The sequence below is a fragment of the Homo sapiens genome, chromosome 18, assembly GCF_000001405.40.
Source record: "Homo sapiens chromosome 18, GRCh38.p14 Primary Assembly".
Classification (NCBI taxonomy): domain Eukaryota; kingdom Metazoa; phylum Chordata; class Mammalia; order Primates; family Hominidae; genus Homo; species Homo sapiens.
In genome coordinates this window covers 48,616,779-48,642,773 of record NC_000018.10, presented here as the reverse complement: position 1 = coordinate 48,642,773, position 25,995 = coordinate 48,616,779, and the positions used below count along the sequence as shown (strand labels likewise).

Sequence of the window (25,995 nt, the reverse complement as noted above, 5' to 3'; positions counted from 1 at the left end):
ATTGTTTGGTTGTTGGTTGTTTAATGTTAATGTTACTGAGATTTGGGCTTGTTTGTTACTGCAGCATTATCTAGGCTATCCTGACTGATACAGGGGAACAGACTTTGCCTGTATGGAACACCAGAGAAAGATACAAGAAAAAAGTTCAAGGCACACAACAGGGGCTGGGTTGGACAGAGGTTCCAACATCTGAGCCCACACACAGACCCCTCTGCATTCACCATTCTCAGCCCCCCACTTGAGTAACACCCAATATGATCCTCCTCTAGCTGTGCTGCCTCCTAACTATTACTCTAACATCCCAACACTGTGCCCTACTCAACCTTTGCTAACATCATGTCTTCTCTCTTCATCTTCTTCTCTCTTCCCTTCCATCTAGTCAAACATCCTACCCATTCCCAAAGGCATAGGTCAGGCCTCATGTCCTGCAAGACACCTCCCTACCCACAGAGACCAACTGAACCACTCTTTGGAATCACCACAGTTCTTGTGGCCAGGATGACATCTCTTTGGGGATCTTACGTGTATGTTGTCATCTTGTTCTGTGTAAACTAGTTTTTACCCTACAAACTGGCAGTGATCCAGAAGCTCCCACTCAGACGCATCTGCTGGGCTCACAGCAGGGACTCAATAAATACGAACTAAACAGAGAGCAGCACTATGAACATATACCTGGTATTTCTTACGTATCCAAGGAAGTGCTAAAAAATGTAGGCACTTTTACTAAGATATCATTTGCACTAATTATTTTTTAAATTAGCACAGAACCAAATCCTATAATTACTGAAGGGTAGCAAGTTGACTTGCAGAAAACTCCTTCCATCTTTTTCTGGGGCCAGAGGTAATTAGTGTATTTGAGGGTCTCCTCCACCTACCATCTGTTATCCCCTGGGTCGGAGTCAATGTTGGTGCCCATATAGCTGGCCTGAAGGTTGGCAAAGGTATCAGGGGATGGGGAACAGTAGAGAAATTAGGAAGACCCAGACCTGCTGTGGCAGTGATTTGGATCCAGTTGGGTGTTTCACGGAGTTACAGAATGCAAACAGAGATTTCTGGAGAGACTCTAAGGAGTCTGTGTAGTTGTTTTTCTGAATAGGTGCTTGGAGCCAGTGTCACTCCTGGGTCAACATCTGGTTCTCCTGGAGCTTGGGACAAGGCTCTTTGACTCTCTTTATGCTTCTGTTTGCTACAGGGCGTCAGGATGAAACAAGAGAGTGCCCTTCACTTATTCCAGGGAATGTTGGGATCATAGGCCCTCAGTCAAAACTCAAAGTCATCATTTGTGACACACCCCCATCTTTCCCAGGGCTTCAGGTGAACCTGCCTGATAGGCAGTCGTGCTCATCAGGTTCCTAGCAAAGATTTCATCACCTTGCTTAACAGCCAACACGGTGGGCCAACAAGTCCTTCCGTCAAGGGAAGTCCTTCCCAAGTCTAATCAGAGGCTGTGCTGTTGTGGTGCATATTAATTTCCTGTTCTTGGCACACCTGTGCAGATGGAAAACAGCTGCTCACTCCTGACCCCATACAACCTTTCCCATGCATTTGGTTTCTTTCCTGAATTCTAAATCCCATGCCAACACCTTGAAAAGCTTTCTGAATGTACTGCTGCTGCAGTCTCTCATTTCAACAATCCCTATACATTTCCCCCATTACAATAAAAAGCTGGAAACGTCTGACGTCCTAACTAAATGACTAGGTGATGGGTGAGTCTTTTGGGAAGAGGATGCCAGGATGTCAGGCAATCCCAAATACAGCTGAATCCCAGTTGCCGGCAGCTGGTCAGCCTCTTCTGAACTATCTGTAGCCCTTTTTATGCTCTACACTCTCTGGGCTCTCTTCCTCCTCTCTCGTGGGACCCAATCTCTTCTAGGTTGCCCCCACTTTCTGCCTCTGAAAGGGTTCAGAAAAAGCAAGGTTTTCTTTTTGACATTAGCTAAAATAACAAACAGGATGAGGCTGGAAGCCTGCTGGGGATGAATCAATCATCCCAGTGTATGACTAATCTGCAAATGGGGCCACATCTGGGCCCTGGGCCCTGGTGCAGGGCATGGTCTGTGACCCACCACCCAGAGGTTGCTTGGCAGAATGCAGGACCTCTGCATCTTCCTGCCAACTCTACCTTCCTGGACATGTGCAGCCAACGTGGGCAGTCAAGAGGAGCACCAGAGCAGCCAGCCACCGCATCTCCATGTAGCCTCAGTTTCTCCCTGAAACTAATTGTCCCCACGGGTGAAAATGGGTTAGCAGTGTTCTCCCATCATCCTGATGGCCCCAGAAAGCTCATCAAAGTTGGTGTGGCAGGAGGAAAAGGGCCCACTAGGGAATGACTGCACAGACTGAGCCTGGGCCAACTCAGTGCAGTCTCAGGCATCACTATTGAGTGCCTACTGAGTACAAGGCCCTAGGCCAGAAGTGGTTGAGGAAGTAGAGCCCGCCCTGACTCCCGTCTTAGGGTTGACCAGCTGGCTGAGGCACAGGCAGGTGTGCGCGGAACAGCTTGGCAACAGCATGAGTCAGTGTGAGGGTGTCTGCCTGGGCGCGTGAGTGCAGCAAGGAGCCAGCCGGGGTGCTCATGGGTGGTGTCCCCGAGAGCTGGTCCTGTGCTCTTGCCTCTGGTGGGCCAGGCTGAAGGGAGCCTTGAAGGATGAAGGGAACAGCAGCATCCCATCAGAGTGGCACTCAGCAAAGGCACCCTTCAGTGGGCAGCTGCCTGGGTCCTCCTCCATCAGAGAGCCCCTGCATGACAGGGGTGACAAGGACACTGCCACAGGCCAGCTACATGGGGCTTTCCTTGGGGTGCCGTCACTCAAAGGAAGCCGCCCAGCTTTGATCCCTCCAGTAGGGGGCAACAGGAGATGGCTGCTTCGTGGGCAGAAATCAGAGTTTCCTGGGAAGGAAACCCAGGTGGGTGTCCCCACGGGCAGATGCATGGACGTGGGTATGAGCCACCATGGGCCACGTGGCCAAGGGCAACACTCTAGAGAGGGTAGAGCAGTGAGAAGCAAGGATCCGGCCCCCACACTGTTGGGCTACCACACCAGCCCCAAACGCCCATCCAGGCTGGTGGCAAGAGAAAAATAAAGATTCCTCTTGTTTATGCCACCCTGTTGTTTGTACCTAATAAATTCAGTCTCTGATGTCTAAAAATAAAGCCTGTCATCACTGAACCAAGGTGCTGCCAACCACAGGAGACCTCGTGTAAATTCAGGCCCACAGATGCTCCTGCCTCCCCCTGCAGCACCCAGGTCTGAACCTTGGCCATCCATCCAGGAGGTGCAACTCCCCCTCACCTCCTCTGTGCACCTGCCCAGGTTTCTGAACTCCAGGCTGCCCCCTGGGCCCCATCTCATGCCGTGCAGGGTGCATTTTTTTACACCTGTGTCTTGTCCTTCCCACTTAGCAGTGACGCCCTTGAAGGCAGGTCCCTGGCTTCAAGCCCACCGGGAGCTCAGCACCAGGTCCCTGCAAACACTCCTGGTTGACAAACCTCTAAGAAATCGCTCCTGAAAGACCCTCTCCAACCTTCAGAGGTTTCCGTGGCTGTAAGCAATTTCATACAGCACAGGTGGTGCATCCCACGCCAGACTCAGGCAAACCCAGCATTCTGACTGAGCCTTCCCTTCCGTCCCAGCCGGCTCTCCAGGCATGGGCGTCGCAGACTCTGCACCCAAGACCAACACGGCACCAGGCACACATGTCTGTGGCAGGGGGTGTCCCTCAGTGGCCCAGCCCCTCTTCCACTTCTCGGAAGTAGACATCTCTCCCTCTTCCCTCTGAGATGATCAGTCGGCCACCGCAGGTCAGGGGTGATGGGAATGCCAGTGCCCCTAAGGCCTGTAGGAGGTCCCTCCCACAAAACCTTGCCTCTGGGCATGTCAGGTGATTAGGTGGGGTTCTATGCAGAGACCCTGTCCTCCACCCTCCTTGGGCTCCTCCCCTGTAATGAAGCTACGTCTCAGTTCCACCTGTCAAGAAAGGATTTAATATGAGCTTTTCACAACTTCACTTTTAAGTTGAGTTATATTTCGTTTTGTCAAACACTGCGTACCCCGAGTCAACTGCTCAGCTGCTTCTTGAAGGTGAGATTGGGGTGAGCTGCTCCTTGCGGTGTTAGGGTGCCTGGAGCAGGGACAAGCCCATACCTAACCCCACTCCACAAGCCCCCAGCCCTGCTCCATGGGCCCATATTATCTGGCGAACCCCTACATGACCTCCTGCAGGTGGGGAAGGCAGACCCGAGAGGACAGCTGGGTGCGGGAGGTGAGGCAGATGAGGGGAGAAAGGGGGTAGAACACTTCCTGAACCCCTGGAGACCCTATCAGGAGTGATGTGGAGAAGGGGACCAGAGGGGAAAGACAGCAGACAAGCCCCCAGAAAGATGGTAAAGAGGAGAGGAAAAAGGACTCTTCATTGGAACATTCCAGAACCAGACACCTGCTGACCAAACAGCAGAGAGCTCTCAGTGACAAACCTCTTATTTCCCATCCAAGAGCTTCAAGCACTTCCTGAAAGCCTCTCTCTGGTGCTTGAGTCCCCAAATCCAAGTTCACCATTGCTGCTGAAGAGTGAGGGGAATCTCCTTTTAGGAGACCCCAGAATAACTGGCAGGAGCTAGAGACAGTGCCCCTGAGGAGCAGGGCCTAGACCAAAAGCTAGGGGGTCAGGGAGCATAACATGGGGTCCCAGGCAGGGAGGCAGCAGAGACAGAGGCACCCCCTAGAAGGCCACCTCCTGCAGTTGGGCAAGGTAGCAGTGCCGTATGGGGAGGAGGGCAGACAAGTGGCACCTCCGTGGGACTCAGTTTCCTCATCTGCAAATGGCACGGAGATGTTAGAAGGACCCTCAGAGGCCGTCGAGGCTCCTTCTGGGTTTTATGTGAGGAAGCTGAGACCCAAGAAGGAAGAGTTTGCCACCAAGTTTGCGGCAGAACAAAAACGAGACTCCAGGTCTCCCATCACCCCCCACCCCCGGGGCTCTTATTATGGCCTCCTTCTTAAGAAACAAGACGTACAAGCACATTTTGTCACGTGAAAGAACCATCCTGGGCAGCCGTCCCTCCACACCATGGGGCAGCCACGCCCTACAGCCTAAGAAAGATCTAGAACCAAGGCCACTGACCAGCTTCTCTCGGGACAGAATAGAGGAGTTGGGTGAATCTGCCAGGAGACCGAAGCTGAACATGATTAAGTGGACTGAAGCTGAACATGAGCAAGCAGGCCCAGGGCAACCCATGACTGCAGCGGCTCTGAAACCAGGCATGGCCCCTCGCAGGAGCCTGCAGGGGCTCCCTCCGCTTTCCAGACAGGCATAGTCGGAGGCTGGACTCGGGATGGGGACACATGTTTTTTTCAGCCTCTAATCCCACAGGCTCCTGCAGGCAGGGATGAGGTATCAGTGAGAACAGCTGGACCACCATAGGGTTTGGTGGAGGGCCAGGGGGTCACCAGGGCAGCTCTCAAAGAGCAGCAGCTGCCTCCCTTCCCTCCCAGCCATGCAACCCACCCACAAGCCTCTCAGGACCTCACCGCAAGCAGCAGGGAGAAAGGTGGCAGGCTCTGGCGGGGTCCCAGGACTGTTGGTTGGCTGGGGGGATGGACAGGTCTCTGACAGCTCCCCCACAGGCTGCCCCTCCCAGGCCTTCTGCAGATCTGGAGCAGAAGTGATATCCAAAGCACCCACCAGCATCAAAATGCCGAGTCCCATTGTTTGTGGGGCTGCAATGTCGGTACCTGAACCCTCAGTGCAGTCATTTGAGAGCCGTGTAATATTCCACTGTAAGGATGGATCCCAAGGCACCTCTCCATTCCCCTCAGTGAACATCTGGGCTGCTTCCAGATATGTGTTAATATATAGAACGCAGCTACTAAAAAGAAATCTCATCAATCGATGAGTTTGGGGGAGTGGGAGCTTCCCTGTGGGCAGGGAGTTAGGGAGGGCTTTCCAGGGAACAGATGCCCCCTCCCCTCTCCCACCTCTCTGCACTCTCCATGTCACCACTCCTCAGGAGCCACTGTGGGCCGGCCCAGGAACCCAGGCAGACAAGACATAGGACACCCCCAGACAGAGCGCAGAGCTGGTTCCCTACCTGCTGTGGGGGGGCTCGCCCTCGGGAGAAGGAACAGCTGCTGTCCAGCGGTTCGCTGCAGTCCGCTGTCCACTGCAGAACAGAAAGGAGCGATCAGTGACGGCAGGACAGCCAGGCCCATGCTCACTCTGCCAGGCTGCAGGAGTTGTGCCCTGGCCTTCCCCATTAGCATGACTGTGGAATCCTATTTGGCCATTTCAATGCAAATCTTTCTCAACCATCAGACCCAATTTGGCATCATCAAGCTCCACATCAAGATGAAGCTTTGGTGTCCGCTTGGGGGAGGCAAACTCACTTCCCTTCACCTGAGCCCAGCACAGTGACAAAGACTGGCTATATCCCAAAGTCAGCCAGATATGACAAAACTTATTCTGAGTTTGGTACAACCAGCACCATGTTTGACCGCCTGACCTGGCTTCAGCCACACTAACCCTCTATTACATCACGGGTGTGGCCAGAGATGGCAGTGAGGCAGGTATGTATTGGTCTTCCTAGAAGCCTAGCTCCAAAAGATGATGGGTTTGGCACCAGGAAAGAGCCCAACCTGGCTATTAGAAGCATGGCTCAGACAAGCCCTGCCACTCACATCCCCTGAGAACTCAGAGGGCTGCTGTGTCCCAAAGTGTGGTCTGACAACCATCTGCACGAGAGTCCCCAGAGTCTGCAACATGGAGGTCCCTGGGCCCCAGGCTTTACCCACTGAATTAGACTCTGTGAGGCCAGGGCCAGAGGATCAGCATTTTGACGAGCTCCCCAAGGGATGCATTGGGAGTCTGGGAGCCACAGAAATCCATGTGATCTCTCAGGCTTCATTCTGTCATCTATAAAATGAGGAGAGCCATGCTGGGTGACTGGCTGGGAGGCTGGGATGAAAGACCTTTGTGAGCTATAAAAACACTGTATAGATACAATGCAGTAGCAGTCATATAGCCCTTCCTGTCAAATGCTATCCAGGTATATGATAGTGTTTTTACTATTGTATTAAACATTAGGTAGCCTCCGGAGCTGAAGTTGTTGAATATTGACCTTAACCTACACCCTGCATGATACATAAAGAGCAGAGGAGGGCCAGGCAGCTCACACCTATAATCCAGCACTTTGGGAGGCCAAGACAGGAGATCACTTGAACCCAGGAGTCTGAGACCAGCCTGGGCAACATAGAGACACCTTGTCCCTACTAAAACAAAAGCAAAAACTAGCCAGCTATGGTGGCATGCACCTGCTGTCCTAGCTACTTGGGAGGCTGAGGCTGGAGGATTGCTTAAGCCCAGGAATTTAAGGTTGCAGTGAGCTGTGGTCGTGCCAATGCACAATGCTCTTGGGTGACAGAGTGAGCCTCAAAAAAAAAAAAAAAAAAAGAAAGAAAAAGAAAAAGAAAAAGAAAAAAAAGAAAAAGCAGAGGGAAGCCCAGTCTCTGTATGTTTGATGACATGGTCAGAGCTGTGAGTGTGTGCCAGTGCAGTCCTGGCTTTCTAAAACCTTGGCTGGACATGCCCTCCTGAGCATGGCTCAAGGGTATGACCTTTGTCCAGGATGGATGTTATTCTTACAATGTTGTTGACATAGGCTGGGTAGAAGTGTACCCTAGAGCAGCACTATCCAACTGAAACAAAATGAGAGCCACACACAGAAACCACAGGCGGAATTTTAAATTTTCTAGTAGCCAAATTTTTAAAAGAAACAGGTAAAATTAAATGAAATAATATATTATATTTAATCTAATACATCAAAATATTATCACTTCAACAGGTAATCAATATGAAAAGTTGTTAATGAGATATTTTACATTCTTCTTTCCATTCCGTGTTAGAAATCCACTTAGAGCACACCTCAGTTTGGATGAGCCACATTTCAAGAGCCATGCGTGGCCTGTGGCTACCATAAGGGTCAGTGGAGCCCTAGAGAAGTGGCAACGGTGTCAGAGGCACTCCTTGCCCATCCCCACTATACTGCAGAGGGGCTGACCCCTGCGGACCACAATTCCCAGGCTCCCACGTCAGCTGGCTTCTGGCTGGGCTTGGCCAATGGGAGACAGGAAGAGGGCATTTCTCCCATCTCTCTATGCCTCAGGCAGCATTACCAGCAGTGCCTGGGTCTCCTTCCTGGCTCCAGCCTCACCAGACAGGCTTCTATGCATGACCGGGAACCCTGGACTCTGGCAACACCTTCTTTCTTTGAGCCTCAGGTCAAGAGTTGGTACTAGCTACCTGAGGTTGCCATTTTCTGGGCTGTGGAGCTTCTCAGGTAGGAGTAATCAATTCTTTGTATTAAATTCCCTCTGCTTGGATCATTGCAGTCTCAAAGTATTTCCCCCAAGATATTTATTAATTGTGGCTGTCAGTGGGGAGAGAAAAATGAGAAACCATCAGATGCCACTTTAGCCAAGTGATCAAGGTTAATATCACCAGTAACAAAACATATCTGCATCATGGACTCCCCAGTGTGGTGCATCGAGACGGGCACATCACTTCTGGGGTATTCTTGACAAAATGCACCCTCTCGACATAATCATGAGAAAACATCACGCCACCCAAATTAATGAGCTTTCTACAGAAGCATTGACCAGAACTCTTCAAAAGTGTCAAGGTTGTAAAAGAAAAGAGAAGACAAAATATCAGATTGGAAGGGAAAGAGGAGATGTGGCAATTACATGCAAATTTGGATCCTGGAACAGGAAAAGGACGTTCGTGGAACAACTGGTGAAATCTGAATAAAGCCTCTAGTTAAGAGCATTGTACCAATGTTAATTTCCTGCTTCTGATAATGGTTCTATAGTTATGTAAGGTGTTCATATTACGGCAAGGTGAGTGACAAGTGTTTGGGAACACCCTGTTCCATTCTGCACCTTGGCTATAAGTCTAAAATAATTCCAAAACAAAAACTAATATGTATGTATTCATACATACGTAAAATACATGCATACATAACTATAAGTATATATGTACATTTATTTATTTATTTATTTATTTATTTATTTATTTATTGAGATGGAGGCTCATTCTGTCGCCCAGGCTGGAGTGCAGTGGCGCAATCTTGGTTCCCTGCAACCTCCACCTCCCAGGTTCAAGCGATTCTCTTGCCTCAGCCTCCTGAGTAGCTGGGATTACAGGTGCCCGCCACCACGCCCAACTAATTGTTGTATTTTTAGTAGAGATGGGGTTTCACCATGTTGGCCAGCCTGGTTTCAAACTCCTGACCTCAGGTGATCCACCCACCTTGGCTTCCCACAGTGCTGGGATACAGGCATAAGCCACCATGTCCAGTCCACATTTTTAGAATAATGTATACAGATACACATAAACATATGTATATGTATATACATACGTATGTATAATGTTTAAAGTACTGTAACTATAATCCCTCTGCTTTATATATTGGAGTAGTTTCTGCTTCCCTGGTTGGAGCCTGGCTGACAGGTGGGAGACATCCAAGGCACACAGTGCCCACTGGCTGGAGGGAACATGAGGCCATGCTTGCACTCCTCATCCCATCCTAGGTGACCTCTCAGAAAAAGGCTTCTCCCCTTCCAGGCATCCTGAACATTTTAACCCCAGCTGCGTAGTGCTGGTGTGATATTCCACGGCACGGTGACTCACGGGGGACACACCTTCTCCAGGGTCAGCACGGGCCTTGGCAGGATGGGGCCTCCTGATGGGCACGCACAAATCAGACCCTGAGGCTTCGTGCACATCCGTATGCAACCCTACCCTCCTTGGTGAGCTTTCCAAGCTCCAACGAGACTGCTCTGCCTTGTCCAAGGCCATCCATAACTGTACATTTGCCAACCAAAAGTCACTTCCTGAGTGCCTTCTGTGTGGGGCCCTCAACAAAGAGTGTCCCCACACAGGAGAGGTCAGATGACATGTCAAATAACAGCAATGAGAGGGGGGTGGGGACGGCACGGCTGAGATGAAGAAGAGTGTGCTCTCGGCAGGGGCTGTAAGGGAGGAAAAGCAGGCAACCCAGGGTTCCCAGAGAAGAGTGAGGTGCCCAAGAGGGGCAACAGGCTCAGTAGAACGTGGCCAGCTTAGGGCAGATGGCGGCTGTCAGGCTAAAGAACTCAGAGACACTTCCTCCATATGCAGGGGTTGAAGGCTTCTGTTAGGGGAGGCTGAACTGGCCCAGGGGGGAAGTGGGGAAGGAGGGTCCCACATTGGGGTTCATTAGCAGTGGTGGTAGAGATGGAAATGAAGCAGTGGATCTCAGAGTGTGGAACAGATGAGCAGCAGGCAAAGCGGGTGATCTGTGCACAAGAAAGCCAGCAAGATGGTGGAGTCCACAGAGCCTCATTCCAGAGACCCAACAAAGCCGGAGGCGGGCACAACCCCCAGCAGGAGGAGGGACTGTGGCCCTGCGTGTGACTGTGTAAATGGGGAGGAGTGAAGTGTGAATGATCACACTTAGCACAGCAAGCTCTACCCACTGGGCTTGTGGGGCTCCATCTCAAACCCCAGCCCAGCAGTAGCCCCAGAGGCAACCTGTCCAGGGCTACTGCCTGAATCCCCTCCATCAGAGACACGCTTCTTCCCTGGCCCTAAAGGCCCTCTGGTAGCCCTCCCTTCCCTATTCCGAAGTTCCTCCCCATCCCTGCTGGGATTCTGCTCTCAACACCAGCTTCTTGTGGCACAGGCACCACCACCTCCTGCCTCCCGTTTGCCTTCTCTGAGACACCGCCTAGAAAATCTCCAGAAATGGACCTCCCCAGAACCTGTCCTGATCTATAGGAGATGAGTCAAGAATGAAGAAGGGTCCACCTCTCCAGACCCGCTCCTCAGTCCGGGCCAGGGCTTGAAATCCCACACATTTCCCTTTCAAGGCAAACAGGCTTACAGCTTTGAGCCTCCTGAACCTTTAAGTTCTCTTGGGGGTAAAGGTGGTGTCTTACTTGAAAAGGTCATCAAACAGAAAGGCGGGAAACGTGGGAAGTTTGTTAGATATGGGAACGATGAGCATCAAATTCACAAGAGTGGTTTAAAGGCCTCAACCACAGCTATTAAAATTCGTGTCTTAATTTAAAAACCTGGAACAAACATGACACAGGGTTAAGACTTAATAAACATGAGAGTACAGGTGTTTGTTCTCCACTCAAAATAGATGTGCATTTTATTATTCTCTGTTATCAGTCCATCTTAAGTATTTCACAATAAAAAACAATGAAAATAAGCTATTTGTCTTTACATCCCAGGATGAAGAGTGTTTTATTGTTTGTTTGTCTTGTTTTTGAGACGGAGTCTCACTCTGGCCCAAGCTGGAGTGCAGTGGCACAATCTTGGCTCACTGCAACCTTCCCCTCTGGGGCTCAAGCAATTCTCCTGCCTCAGCCTCCCAAGTAGCTGGGACTACAGGCGTTCTCCACCACACCCGGTTAATTTTTTTGTATTTTTAGTAGAGACAGGGTTTCACCATGTTGCCCTGGATGGTCTCAAACTCCTGAGCTCAGGTGATCCACCTGCCTTGGCCTCCCAAGTGCTAGGATTACAGGTGGGAGCCACCACACCCGGCCAGTGTTTTATGAGCAGAGATTGGGAAAGATTGGGGAGACCCCAGGGTACTGAGCATTGGAGGAGGAGGAGAGAGAAGCAAGAAGCTCAGAGTGTGGGAGGCTGGAGGTGCTAAAGCTAGACCAGGCCCCCATTTCAGTGGTGCCTAAAACTCCTCCAAGAGACCAGCCCTACCAGATATCAAAGTATCTCATAAAGCTAGAGCCCGGGCTGGGTGCGGTGGCTCATGCCTGTAATCCCAGCACTTTGGGAGGCTGAGGAGGGTGGATCACGAGTTCAGGAGATCAAGACCATCCTGGCTAACACGGTGAAACCCCGTCTCTACTAAAAAATACAAAAAAATTAGCCAGGCGTGGTTGCAGGCACCTGTAGTCCCAGCTACTTGGGAGGCTGAGGCAGGAGAATGGCATGAACTCGGGAGGCAGAGCTTGCAGTAAGCAGAGATCGCGCCACCGCACTCCAGCCTGGGCAACAGAGCGAGACTCCAACTCAAAATAAATAAATTAATTAAAAAAAAAAAAAAAGCTAGAGACAAAAAAGCTGTTGAACCAGTACAGGAATAAAAGAGCAGATCAACTGATAAAACTGCACCCACAAGCAAATTAATGTACAAATGGGAACCTCATATAGGTAAGGATTGTGTTTTGAATTGAGGGAGAGACTCATCAATAAATACATGGTATTGAGACAACCACCCAGCCATTGAAAAATTGACCTTAGATATCTGCCTTGCACTATTCTTGGAAAACACATTCCAAGGTGATTGAAATCTGAGATGCAAATTTTAAACTACATCAAAATTTCAAACTTCTAAGCGACAAAAGAAATCATGAACAAATAAAGACAAGTGAGAAGCTACTTGCAACATGCACAGTCGCCCACCCCCCCAACCCTGAGGGATCCATTCCAAGATTCCCTAGTGGATGCCTGAAACCGTGGGTGGTAAAAAGCCCTACATCTGTTTGTGATCCTGTAACAGAGATGTCTGCTCAGTGACTCTGGGCTGGGCAGTGACGCGCAGGTAGAGGATACAGCCTAGAAACGCTGGACAAAGGGATGATTCATGTCCCGGGAGAGACAGCATGAGATTTCATCATACTGCTTGGAATGCCATACAATTTAAAATGTATAAATTGTTTATTTCTGGAATTTTTCATTTGACATTTTTGGACTGTAGTTGACCGTGGGTAACTAAAACCATGGAAAGCAAAACAGTGGATAAGGGGAGCCTGCTGTGTAGCAAAGAATTAATCACCAGACTATATAAAGACTTCTCTTAAATCTAGGCACTGTTCTAAGTCCATTGCACTTACTAACATTTACTCTTCATGGCTGCTGAGGCACTCTTACCTTCTCTAATTAGCAAACATGGAGACTGAAGCACAGTGTGGTTAAGTAACTCACCCAGGAATACACAGCCAAAAAGTGGCAGCATGAGCAAAGGACAGAAATAGGGATCATTCAAAGACCCAGGAAAAATGACTGATATTAAACACAATATGTCATCTTGGATTAGACAAAGATCACAGCCAATTTTTTTTTTTTTTTGCTCTAAACAATATTACTGGGAAAATTGCTGAAAGAGCTGTAGGTTTAATCACAGCATTCTATCAATGTTCATTTCCTATACTGTATCATGTCCTTGTTCTGAGGAAATACACACTGGAGTGTCAAGGGATACAGGGGCATCATGTCTGGAACTAACTCTCAAATGATTTAGAAAGAAGTTTTACATACAATTATATGTATAAATTATATATATCATAAGATATATTTAGAGAGAGAGTGTGGGTACAAATGTAGTAAGATGTTAATCGGATATGCAAGAATTGTTTGCACTATTATTGTAATTTCTATGTATATTTGAAATTATTTCAAAATGCATAGTTATTTTAAAGGTCATCTTACCCAGGGCTTCTTAACCGAGGGTGGCGTCAGACACCCAGGGGGGATTTTGGGGGTCCACAGGCCAGGTCTTCCCCAGTGTCTGAATGCATAGGTGGTGGTGGAATGTGACCTCTGTGTGTAAAACCTGTGCCAGGTGGGGGCTGCACAATGCAACCAGGGCTCTCACCAATGCCTTCATTTCCCTGAAGGGAGACTTGAGGCTGAAGGGAAATGGCTTCCTCCCAGTCTCACAGACCCCAGTCAGAATCCTGCTAGCCTGAAGACCCAACTTCTCAAAGACAGGAGTGTGCATGACATCTTCCTTTCTCCTGGGCACATGGGCTTACTGACATGGGGAGGAGAACCAAGACCCTGATGTGGGACCCAAGGCTGGCTGGCAGCTCATTCTCTATCCAGTGATATTTTAGAAAAGACCTGTGCTAAGAGGGACAGGATGCTGCTGATGGCTGAGATTTGAGAGAGAGAGAGGGAGGCTTTTGCTCCCATCTTTTAAGGAACAAACAACTTTCCTGTTGTAGAGAATGCTTGCGTGATTAGGAGCTTGAGTTCTTGAAGCAGAGAGTCCTGAATTCAGATCTCAGCTCCGCCACTTACTCTATGACCTTGGGCAAATCGCTTCATCCCCAGGACGAAGTTTCCCCCATCTGTAATAATAATAGGTCTACCAATAGCAGAGAGGATAAGTGGATGGTACGTGGAGACAGGCTGCCTGTTTCAAACCCCAGTCTTGCCATGTACTTGCTGTGTGGCCTCAGGAAGCTTAAGTCAACCTCTCTGTGCTTCAGTTTCCTCCCTTGTAAGATGGTAATAATAACAACATCTTCAAGACTAAATGAGTTAACATGTGAGAAACAATGCAAACAGTCTCCTTTGTTACTTCCTCCTCATCTCCCCAACTTCTTAAGTCAAGGCTCAATCTTTGATCCTCTCCTGTAAACTTCCTCACCCCCTGGGCTTAAAGCAGCACCCAGCTCATTATCCTCCTCTGAACACCACCAATGTGCATCGAACTGGTGGACCAACATCTCCTCTAAGGTGACTAATACTATCTTAAACCTTTCATGCCCAAACGGGACTCTTGACCTTTGCCCCCCAGAGCTGCTCTTCCAGGGTCTTGCATAGCTCATTTCTGCAAAGTCTATCCTATTTGCTCAGGCTAAAATCTTCAGGGTCAATCACAGTGTCAGCACTTTCCAAGCATACCTAGACTCTGAAGGCATCTCATCACCTCCAGTGACCACACGGCCCCAGTCTCCATTGCCTCTCCCCTGCAGCAAGGAGACGGCTTCCTGGTCTCTGCTTCCTCTCTTGCTGACCCCCTACCATAGCCTATTCTCTACATAGCATTCAGAGGGATCCCGTTTGACTGTGTGGTATGCCCCACACCAGAGTTTTGCCCTGGCCACTCCCTCTGCCTGGATACCCTTTCCCAGGTGGCCTCACTCTCACCTCCTTCAAATCCTCACTCCCTCCCTCCCTCCCTTCCTTCCTCCCCACCCTCCCCCCCAACCCTGTCTTCTTTCTTTTTCTTTCTTTCTGTTTTTTGTTTGTTTGTTTTGAGACAGGGTCTCACTCTCTTGCCCAGGCTGGAGTGAAGGGGTGTGATCTCAGCTCACTGCAACCTCTGGGTCCTGGGCTCAGGTGATCCTCCCACCTCAGCCTCCCCAGTAGCTGGGATCACAGGCATGCACCATCATGCCCAGCTAATTTTTGTATTTATAGTAGAGACTGAGTTTCACCATGTTGCCCAGGCTGGCCTCGAACTCCTGGGCTCAAGTGATCCACCTGTCTCAGATTTCTAAAGTGCTGGGATTACAGGCGTGAGTCACCTTGCCCAAATCCTCACTCCTAAGCGAGCCTTCCCCACTCACTTCCTGCCTCCCTCATGCATTCATCACCTTCTAACATCCCATTTCCTTCTCCCTCTATTGTCTGTCTTTCCCTGTGAGAAACTGAGACAGAGATCATGGTTGTTTTGTTCTTGACTTTGCCCCCTGAGCCTACAAAAGAGCCTGAATGAATAAATGTTAGCTTTCATTCTATTATATTTTACCACCTAGCAGAAAAAGAGCAAATTTAAATAGTTACACTTTATGCTAAAAACCACCACCAAACAATGTCTAGGAGATCATTAAAACCTACAGATCATAAAACTTACATGTATGCTAGAAGTACAACTTTGTAAAAGATGTTTAAAAAATGATGCACAAAAATTATATTAGTTGCCATAAAATGATTTTTTTCCATTTTTCACTTGCCTCTGTTTTTCCAATTGTTACTTTGAGAAAATAAAATTTTATCCTATTAAAAAGTAATTGGTGGCCAGGCACAGTGGCTCACGCCTGTAATCCCAACACTTTGGGAGGCCGAGCAGGGTGGATCACCTGAGGTCAGGAGTTCAAGACAAGTCTGGCCAAAATGGTGAAACCCTGTCTTTACTAAAAATACAAAAAATTAGCCAGGCATGGTGGCAGGCACCTGTAATCACAGCTACTCGGGAGGCTGAGGCAGGAGAATCGCTTGAACCCGGGAGGCAGAGGTTGCAGTGAGTCAAGATCACACCATTGCACTCCAGCCTCGACAACAAGAGCAAAACTTTGTCTCAAAAAAAAAAAAAAAACAAAAAAAAAACGGCCAGGTGCGGTGGCTCATGACTGTAATCCCAGCACTTTGGGAGGCCATGGGAGGGGATCACAAGTCAGGCATTCGACACCAGCCTGGCCAACATAGTGAAACTCCGTCTCTACTAAAAATACAAAAAATTAGCCAGGCGTGGTAGCACACGCCTGTAATCCCAGCTATTTGGGAGGCTGAGGCAGGAGAATCACTTGAACCTGGGAGGCAGAGGTTGCAGTGAGCCGAGAGCATGCCATGGCAATCTAGCCCGGGCGATAGTGCAAGACTCATCTCAAAAAAAAAGAAAAAAAGAAAATAAAAAGATTGGTAATTCAATTTCATTAGAAATAAAGACAATGTGGCCGGGCGCGGTGGCTCACGCCTGTAATCCCAGCACTTTAGGAGCCCGAGGCAGGTGGATCACCTGGGTCAGGAGTTCAAGACCAACCTGATCAATATGGTGAAACCCCATCTTTACTAAAAATACGAAAATTAGCCAGGTGTGGTGACATGTGCCTGTAGTCCCAGCTACTCGGGAGGCTGACAGGAGAGTTGCTTGAACCTGCGGTGGGGGGAGGTTGCAGTGAGCTGAGATCGCGCCACTACACTACAGCCTTGGTGACAGAGTGAGACTCCATCTCAAAAAAAAAAAAAAAAAAAGAAAGAAAAAGAAATAAGACAATGTGAATTAAAATGACAAGATGTCCCAATACACTGGTGGCAGTATGGATAATGGAAGATCTTTGGAGAGCACTTTAACAACAGCTATTAAAATTAATTTTACTTCTCAGCATCTAACTAAAGAAACTCCATTATTTGTGCAGAAGGAGGCATGTTCAACAGTATGTGTTGAAGTATCACGTATTTCCAGGGGAAAATTTAGAAGTAACCTGAGTGCCTACCATTAAGCAAATGGTTAAATAAATCCATGCTATGGACAACTGGGCAGCCACTAAACGGAACACAGCAGATGTGCAAGCCCAGAAGAATCTCTGGGGCATGTGGGCAGGTGAAAAATGCAAGTTATTGAACAATATATCCACTGGCTATGATATATGATTTGACAATATTGTATTTCTTCAAGTCATACCTATGTCAGGAAAGGCATTAAAAAAGGCAAGGAAATGAACTCACTCATCTGATGGGAGGTAGGAGTAAGGGAGCAGAATGAGGTGGTAGCACAGAAGATTTTATTGTTAATATTTGAATTCTTATGTACCATGATAATGTATGCATAAAGGACTTGTATAATTTAAAATAATTTTAGCTCAGGAGAATTTAATTATTAATATCTGAATTCTTGTGCACTATGGGAATGTATGCATAAAGTACTTGTATAATTTAGAATACATTTTTTAAATAAGGGGAAAATATATAATAAATCCCCCATGCTGAACCACCCCGCAGTCCTCCTATAAACTCACTTCTTCTGTTAAGCCTTTCATGGGTGGTCCACCATTGAGTACTTCCTCCTGTGAGCAAAGACATCAGGAAAAATGAATTTAAGGGCAGAAGGAAATGAAGAGATGGGATTTTAGAAAAAGGGCGAGGGAACAGTGAACAGGGAAGGCAGAATGAAAGGAGAGACGTAAAGAGAAAGAGGAGAAACTTGTTAGGAAAAGCCATTGAGCCGATCTGAACACTCTCACCCTATCCTATTCATTGCCACTGCTGCACCCCTTTGTAAAGATCACTGCATTTTAGATGAAACCCAGGGTTTCCAAGTGCCGGAAAGCATCAAAATAGGGCTATAGGAAGTGATCTTCACTCTCACTGGCTCTTAATTTGACCCCTTAACAAGAATTTACTGGAAACTATGCTGTCATTAAATGTATCTTCATAGGGTTCCTACATGTTATCTTTCCAAGAGACTGGATCGGGGCAGCAGGCCATGGAGGGGGAGAAAGGAGACAGCCCTGCTCCCACTGTGGCAATCAGAGTCATGCACAGGCTTATGAATAGTTCAGGCCCAGGCCCCTCACCTTTGCCTGCATCTCTAGCAGTGGGGCCTGTACATCAGTATTTCTCACAGCTCCCTAAGTGAGTTCATGCTCGCTCAGAGTTGCATACTGCTTCCAAGCTTTCTGGTGATCCACTAGATCATCCACGAACATCACATGTGCCAAAATTTTCCCCACTTACAACATCCTAATCTCTTCCCCAAAAGATTAGTGGTCAATGAGATTTGGAGACCTAATTTTCTTTCTATAGGAAAGAAATCTATATTAACCACCCAACACCCAATCAGTCATGGCCTGTACGGAGCAGGAAACCAGAAGTAGGTGGGGTGGGGATGGGGCTCCAGAGCCCAGCTCAGCCACCACCCAGCAGTGGGGTTTGGCCATGCTCCATTTCTGTGCCTCAGTTTCCCTCCTTTAGAATAGGGCTAAAATCCCTCCTCCTCCCAAGGATAGAGTGACTGTGGGGACTTCCAATCTATTGGACAGCAGGTGCTCCTGAAACATGGGGGAGGGGTACGATGTAAAATACGGGGGAGGGGCGTGGTGTCAAGCATGGGGAGGGGCGTGGTGTCAAGCATGGGGAGGGGTGTGGTGTCAAGCATGGGGAGGGGCGTGGTGTCAAACATGGGGAGGGGCGTGGTGTCAAGCATGGGGAGAGGTATGATGTTAAACATGGCATCCAGAAAATGTTGGCAAACTTAAAACACACATTGTCTTGGTTATTCATCTAAGAGACAGGAAAACTGATCTATCTATCTATCTTATCTATCTATTATCTATGTATTATCTATCTGTCTGTCTATCCATCCATCCAGCCAGCCAGCCATCCATCCATCCATCCATCCATCCATCCTTCATTTCTTTCTAGTTGTTACTGGGAAGGACGAGAGGAACACAAGTGTACAAACATCATGAGATATTTTCTCCCTGAGTGTCAACTGTCACTTCTCAGATCCTAAAAAATGACCTCACCAGCTGAAGAGCAACATTCCTCTCCACTCCCTCAGGTCTTCTCAAGGTTTCCAAGCTTCTTAACAAATTTCCTCCCCAGAAACATCAAAATACCACACAGGCAGACAGGAACATTCCCTGAGTGTTTGCTGTTTTTTTTTTTCTTTTTGGCTTCCATTTAAACTAGTCATCAGATTAAAAAAAAAAACAAGCCAAAGTGCTTTAGCAGAAATATTTCCCATAAAGCTGTGTTAATAGAGAATTTTTTTAAAAAGTATCTTATGTAGACACAGCTAACCCTGGCCTTCCTGAGAGTGGGCCACAGCCGTCCCTCTTCCAGAGTCGGTACCCCAGGTGTGTGTGTGACTGTGGGGATCGGGGAGGCAGGGGCGCGGTAGGGGCAGGATTGAAACATCCTCCCTTTCCGGCAGCAGCAGGCAGGCCTGCAGGCCCCAGCATCCTGCCAGGTGTCTGCATTCTTCGAGGGAATTCCAGAGCATGAAGAAAGTTTAGAGAATGCATCCAAATGTCACACCACACAGGTGTTCTCCACACCACACTTCACAGCAGACGTCAGTCTGAAAGCCCCTCCACAGCCTTGCCTTGCCCGCCACACAGATGGGGGCATCCAAGCGTGAGTCAGGCCCCACTGATCCCTGGAGCTGGTGCCAGAAGCACAGAGCCCAGACTGAAAGCGCTGGGAGGGCACCTCCTTTCAAAACTATGTCCCCGCTGGCTGCTCTGGGCACAGAAATTCTACCATCAGCCACGCATACCTCTGGGGTGAAGCTTTGAGGCTTCCTTGGCTCCTCCAGGTAGAGCAAATTTCAGCTGGAGGAACCTTTGGAGGATGCCCTGCTGCAGGCCTGGATGCCACACAGCTGAAAAGGCAGGCAGCCCACAACAGGGGGTACCCAGCCAGCCCATATGCCCATCCACAGGCCCTGCTCCTGGGGAAGTCAGCTCTAGGGGCTTCCAGGGGACTGCAAAAGTTGGTTCACTTAGTTCCTGCCCTAGACAATCTAAAGAGGTTAATTTCCCTTACAATTTTCCAATCTATCCTAATCCTCCTCCTCCTTCCACTTCAGATCATGGTACTATTAGCTGTGCAATAAGCATAGTTTGTATATTAAAAAAAGGATTATGCAAATAAGTTAATGCACCACCAGACAAGACCCTCCATGCGGTCAGCTGTAGACCGCCAGGCCACCCAGCCACCACCTTGCTCCCACATTCCTCAAGGACTTTTCTCCTGTATCACAGCCACCCTTTCCCACATCCTTTTGTCCTTTCTTGGTGATTTCAAGATCCATGAAGATGGATCTGAGTTTCACGACCCGCTCTCCTCCTGGCCTCTCCCTCTCCCCCACACACTCCCATGCTCACACCCAGCCCTCTCCTGACCCATGACTGCATTCCTCCACCTCTGATTTCAAACACCCCACTCCTGGACACACGCCACACCCCCACCATCTTTCTAGCTCAGTCTCTTTGCTACCAGGATTACAATTCTTTGGGTGGCCTCCAATCCACTGACCCTACCACCTGTCAGCCTCCACAACCACCTCAGGTACCCACTCCCGTCCTGGCCTGGCTCAGCATCCAGGTGACTCACCATCATCACTCCTGTGCCTCCCTCACCCCTCTCTCCTCCACTGTATTCCCTGGAGAAACCTCCACCCTGGTTAAAGTCATCTTTGTAACTCTGCCTCTGCACCTTCGTGGCCGCAAGCCGCTGGAGAGAAACCACAGCTGTGCTGCAGGAGCCATTTTAGATGCGCGGCCCCACACCTGCCACTCCCTCCTGTCATTGTGGATGAACCGCTGGGGGCTGGGGATAGGCCAGGGCTCCAGCAACCCCTGACTTGCCCCTGGATTGAACACACAGGTCAATGCTCCTATTTTGACCTTATTTCCCCCAAATACCACCACATGTCTCTCCCCTTTACAGCTAAACTCCTCAAAACAGTTGTACTATTCTCCTAGTCTCCAGGCCATCTCCTTCTGTTCCTTGAGCTGGCCACAGGCAGGCTTCTGCCTTCACCGCTCAGTGGAAACTTCCCCGTCACGGCCCCCTGCTCAGTCAGCCATTCTCAGCCCCTCTTACCTGGCCTGGCAGTGGCCCGCAAGGCAGTCTCCCCATCCCACTCCCTCGACTCCCCTCCTGGGCTCCAGGAGCAGCCTGGTTCCCTCCTGCCTCACTGGTCTCTAGGCTCACTTCTCCTCACATTCTTTCTTCCTCATGTGGGGCCACTCCAGGGCTCAGGACTCGCACCTCCTGACGACACAGTCCTCATCATCCCTCTGACTCATCTCCGCAGCTCTCCCTCCCTCATCCTCTGCTCCAGCACCCTGGCCTCCTGGCTGGGCCCGGACTCTTCTTCCAGCCCAGCCCTGGCACAGGCTGGTCCTTCTGCCCAGATGTTCCTATCCGGATATCTCCACTACCCACCCCTCCCTCCCCTCCATGCCAGCTTCCCTGACTACGCTACTTAAAACTGCAAGCCCCTCCTGCTCCTCCTCACTCCCCGTTCCATTTTCCGCTTTACTTTTCTCCATCGCAATGATCATCCACGAGTAGAATACACAGTCCATGAGGGCAGGGCTTTTTTGCTCAATCCTAGATACGAGTCCTAGAATAGTGCCTGGCACAGAATAGAAGCTTGTTAAACACTCATGGATTGAATAACAAACAAATTATAAGCTTGCATTACTTGTGATTTTAGAACCTCAAGGACACTAAAGAAAGCATCACATCTATTTTTTTTTTTCTCCCTCAGGACTATTTTCTGTCCCCTGCTTCCCAGTGGGGACAGGGCATGGGATTACTGTGGCTTCAGCATTTCCCAGAGTGACTCCTGGTCTGAGTTCCAGCAAAGCCAAAAGTTTGTTCTGGCTTCTAAAAAGCTAGGGGTCCCACCCAAAAAGTGAGCCAGGTGGTTGGACTCAGCCTTTTCCCAAAGCAGGGTGCACCCAGGTAGCTCACCTTCTGATTGTCCCAGGAGTCCCAGGCTTGGAGATGGGATAACACGCACGAGAGGCGGATCCCCAGAACCCTGACTCCAGATAAGACAGGGGACTCTCCTGTACATGCTTGTGCAGGCAGCACTGATTCTCTGCAGCTTTTGTACTTCTTACTGTCTTTGACCTTCCAACATTCCCGAGGCAACAGCATAATTCCCATTTGCCAGATAAGAAAACACAGCCCCACAGACATTGAAGGTTCTGCCCAAGGTCACACTGGCAGCTAGAAGCCAATCTGGAAGCAGCTCTTGAACAAAAATCTGCTGAGGATTTGTGGTGTTAGGCAAAGATATGCTTGATAGGGTCCCTATCCTTAATGCATTCATACTTTATGAGGGAGAAGCCAAGACTTTCAAATCTCAGCTCACAATCTTTCAGATGAGTCCATCTCCCCTCCAAGGTCAGGGATGCCACAGACTGAGGCAGGAGGGTGCAGGACCAAACATGACGCTGGTTGGATTGCCTCATATGTCTAAGTATGTCTGACATACAGAGCCCTGGGTGAGAATCCCACGAGACTTTGGCTACTAACAATCATTCCTTTGGCTACCAACAACTACTTGTATTTGAAATCACAGAAAATATTCACAAGTTATAGTTCTTTGATGGTATGCATTATGGAGAAGCGAAACCTCCAGATCTCTCCTAGAACATAAGCTTATTGAGGACAGGGAACAGCGTTCAGCACATAGTCAGTACTCAAGAGACGTATGTTCAAAGACATGTGGGCCTGGCTGGGCCTCAAAGCCTCATTGGATAGGGAGGAGTGGAGGTGGGTTAGAGGGACGGGGTGCACAGCCAGGGCACTTCCTGCCTGGATCCCAAAGCCCACCTGCCAGATTCTGGGTGCTCTGCTGGGTGGGACCATTCATGCCTTGGCGGTCTAGTGTCAGGCAACTGGATGCTGCCCAGAATTAGGGGCTCCTGCATCACCCCCTCTGAATTTCCCAAGCTGCCCCAACCCCGGGCCCGCGCTCACCTGGGAGATGTGGGACTGGGTCCTCTCGCTCTCGCCATCACCCTCCGTCTTGTCAGCCAGCAGCCCCTGCACCTGGTACTCCAGCACGTAGCTGTCGATGAAGCGCTCCAGCTCCTCGATCTCCTGGGAGCGGCTGCTCCCTGCCTCCGAGGAGGCTGATGCTGCAGAGGAGTTTTCCATCCCTCCAGCTCAGGGGCCTGGGCCGGGACTGGTGGGAAAGAGGACAGAGAACTCCGTGAGACGCTGCTGGAGGAGACGACGATGCCCACACCTGAGAAACACCCTCTGCTCCTGGAAGCATCTTCTTATCCATCATGGCGTTCTGTTCTTCCAACAACCCTGAGAAGTCAGCGAGGGGCTGGCTTGCCCTCAGCATAAACTATGTGCTGTAATTCCCACTGTGTAGGGCAGGAGACTGAGGCCCAGGGAATGCAGGCCACTTGTCTGATTGGCCAGCACAGGCACTGTGCAGTGTCAGAGTTAGTGTCTACCTAGGCCTTAATCGCTGGGAAAGGCAGAAGATGAGCTCAGCCTACAGGCCAAGCCTCACTTCCTGACTCAGATTTAACAGAATCTACCACAAAGCAGGATGAAATAAACAACAGAACCAAGATTGAGGGTGCACAATGGGGCCCGAGACACAAACCTCTGAGGGGCTCAGGTCCTCCAAGAAAATGACTACTTAAGAGGAGACTTTTTCTTTTCAGTCACCAGACTGTCCCCTAAATTAGTTGAAGCCTATGGGCCGTAACTTATAAGCAGGATTTTGCAGCCTTGCTCTGGTGCAGCTACTGGAACACACCTATGGTGAGTCTGCAGGAACGTGACTGGATTTCACTGGCAGAACGAGAAAGGCTTGCTGCATTGTCTATGCTGATATGGCCTAGCCACAGACACTGCCTGGTCACCTTTACAGGGGCATGACTAACCCATTAGCCCTCGCACCCTCTCTCTGGGGCAGCGCGGCATAGATGACCAGCTATGGCTGGAACACTAGTTAAAGTCCACCAACAGAACTGCAATCTCTGGAGCTGATGTGCTCAACCCAGCCCTGCAGGGGCCCAGGTCTGCTGGGACCTCACCGCCACCGCCCTCTCTGCTCCCCGCTCCCTTGCTTATCCCCCGAAGCTCCCACCTGACCCACCTGGGAGTGAGGAAAGCTAGAACCTTTCTCACCTCCAGGCCAGGGACCCTCCCCTTCCTCTGATGGGCTCCAGGCTAGATGGGAAGGGGATTTAAAGCTTGCCTTGTGCCTCTTTTATTATCTGGAGACCTGTGATTTCCATGGAAGATCCTGATCTGCCAGAGAAAACAGAGTCTGCACATGCTTTTAGTATCACAACTAGTAGAACAGACTTCTACCAAACCACTACCACAAGAAAGCACAGAGAAGACATGAATCCTGCACACACAGGGCTCTGAAGCCATATAGAGCAGCGTGAATGCTGCTGCCAGTAATAAAGGCGAGGTCCTAGCAGGTTTAATGGAGCATTTGAATTTCAAAACTTTGAACCTCAGAACCTTAACCCTGAGAACTTCTTTGGAACACAGTTATTTGCCAATAATCTAGGGTTTGTTGAGTGTTTTCACTGCAGCGAGTCCAAAGCAGGGCAAGGAATGGTGTGCTGGGTTCCAGAAATGCTGCTGAGAGCATGAATGTTGACTCTCCCACACCCTCACTGCCTTCTCCGAGGGTGAGGGAATGGAGAGGAAGAACTGCCCGGGGGAAGGAGAACCGCCCTGCTGTGCACACATCTTCCTCTGCTTTCCCAGCTCATTTTTAGGCTTTTGGCCGCTGCAAGGGGCCCAGCCTCCCTCGGACCCCAGGCCTGCTGCAGGGAGCTCTGAGGTGCTGCAGGGCCTCGCTCTGGGCCCCCTGAGCTCAGCAACCTTGGAGCTGTGGGTCTGTTCACCCATCCTAGAGGGAGGAATCAGCGGACTGGAGGTTTCAGGCCAAGGCGGTGCCCTTTTCAGAATGAGGGAACCAGATGTGGAGGCAAGGGTGGCAGCAGGTCCTCAGGGAGTCAGCTGGGATTGGGCTATGCACATCTGGTGGCAAGGGCCACAGGCAGGGGCATGGGAGGTACTGTCCATTGCCTCTTCCTGCACCTGCCACTCAAAGCCTACAGGACCTTATACCTCCCCACACCACCAGCACCCACCTTACTCCTCCTGCTCCACAGCTGCCCACACCTAAGTCATCCCCTGCTTCAGCCCCTGGCTACTCTGCTCCTCATCCTGGGCACATGCTAGGTGTGGCAGACAGAATTCTAAGACAGTCATGGGTATACACCCTCTCCCAGTTACTCTCCAGGAGTCTAGATACCCTTGGGAAGGGATTTTGCAGACAAAATTAAATCCCAAATTAGTCGACTTTAAGATAGAGAGACTATTCAGGAGGGCCTGACCCAAGCACTTGAGCCCATTAAATCTGGGACTAGAGCTCAGCACAGCAGAAGAAGCCAGAGATCCAAAGCATGAGAAAGACTCAATGCACTGTTGCTGGCTTGAAGGAAAAGAGACACATGGTAAGGCATGTGGGCAGCCTCTAGTAGTTGAGAGCAATCCCTGGTCAACAACTGGCAAGGAAGTGGGCACCTCATCCTACATCTGCAATGAAGTAAATTCATCTGAGAACCAATGAGCCTGGAAGCAGACTTTTCCCCCAGAGCCTCCAGCTAAGAATTCAACTTGGCTAACAACTTGACTTCAGTCTCATGAGACGCTGTGCCAGACTTCTGACTTACAGAACTGTGAGATAATGAATGCTATTGTTTTATGCTGCTGTTTGTAGTAAACTTTTAGGAAGCAATAGAAAATGAACACAGGACGCTCTTTCCTGCCTCTGTGCTTTTGCTCACACTGAACCTGTCACCTGGAAGCATTTTCTCCTTCCCTCCACCTGCCAAATCTAGAGGTCCTTATATGCACAGAAGGCCAGAGCATTGCCTTGGTTTCATGGCAGGC

At 49.6% G+C, this 25,995-nt stretch overlaps 1 protein-coding gene across 23 annotated transcripts in view, besides 2 other annotated features; it reads right to left on the bottom strand.

The window, feature by feature from the left end:
• CTIF (cap binding complex dependent translation initiation factor) overlaps window positions 1–25,995 on the bottom strand; it is a 324,187-nt gene that overhangs the window by 220,444 nt on the left and 77,748 nt on the right. For 13 of the 23 annotated variants that reach the window (XM_047437965.1, NM_001142397.2, XM_011526279.3 and 10 more), the window contains 2 exons: window positions 23,029–23,236; window positions 6,089–6,160 (listed from right to left, as the gene is read on the bottom strand). In XM_047437965.1, coding sequence (XP_047293921.1) covers window positions 6,089–6,160; window positions 23,029–23,208 — 252 coding nt within the window. In that variant the 5' untranslated portion in view covers window positions 23,209–23,236. Of the gene's footprint in view, window positions 1–6,088; window positions 6,161–17,537; window positions 17,586–23,028; window positions 23,237–25,995 lie in introns of all 23 variants that reach the window. The other 10 variants (XM_047437960.1, XM_017026100.2, XM_006722586.4 and 7 more) reach the window with 1 other exon arrangement.
• Window positions 19,423–19,602: an enhancer, noted in NCBI's record as "active region_13288". NCBI's record gives its function as "activates an Ori minimal core promoter by ATAC-STARR-seq in GM12878 lymphoblastoid cells {active_cell/tissue: GM12878}" and the evidence as "EXISTENCE:reporter gene assay evidence [ECO:0000049][PMID:35858748]".
• Window positions 23,364–24,082: an enhancer, noted in NCBI's record as "H3K27ac-H3K4me1 hESC enhancer chr18:46145063-46145781 (GRCh37/hg19 assembly coordinates)". NCBI's record gives its function as "activates a minimal SCP1, AML or CMV promoter by ChIP-STARR-seq in naive H9 embryonic stem cells {active_cell/tissue: H9 hESC(naive)}" and the evidence as "EXISTENCE:reporter gene assay evidence [ECO:0000049][PMID:30033119]".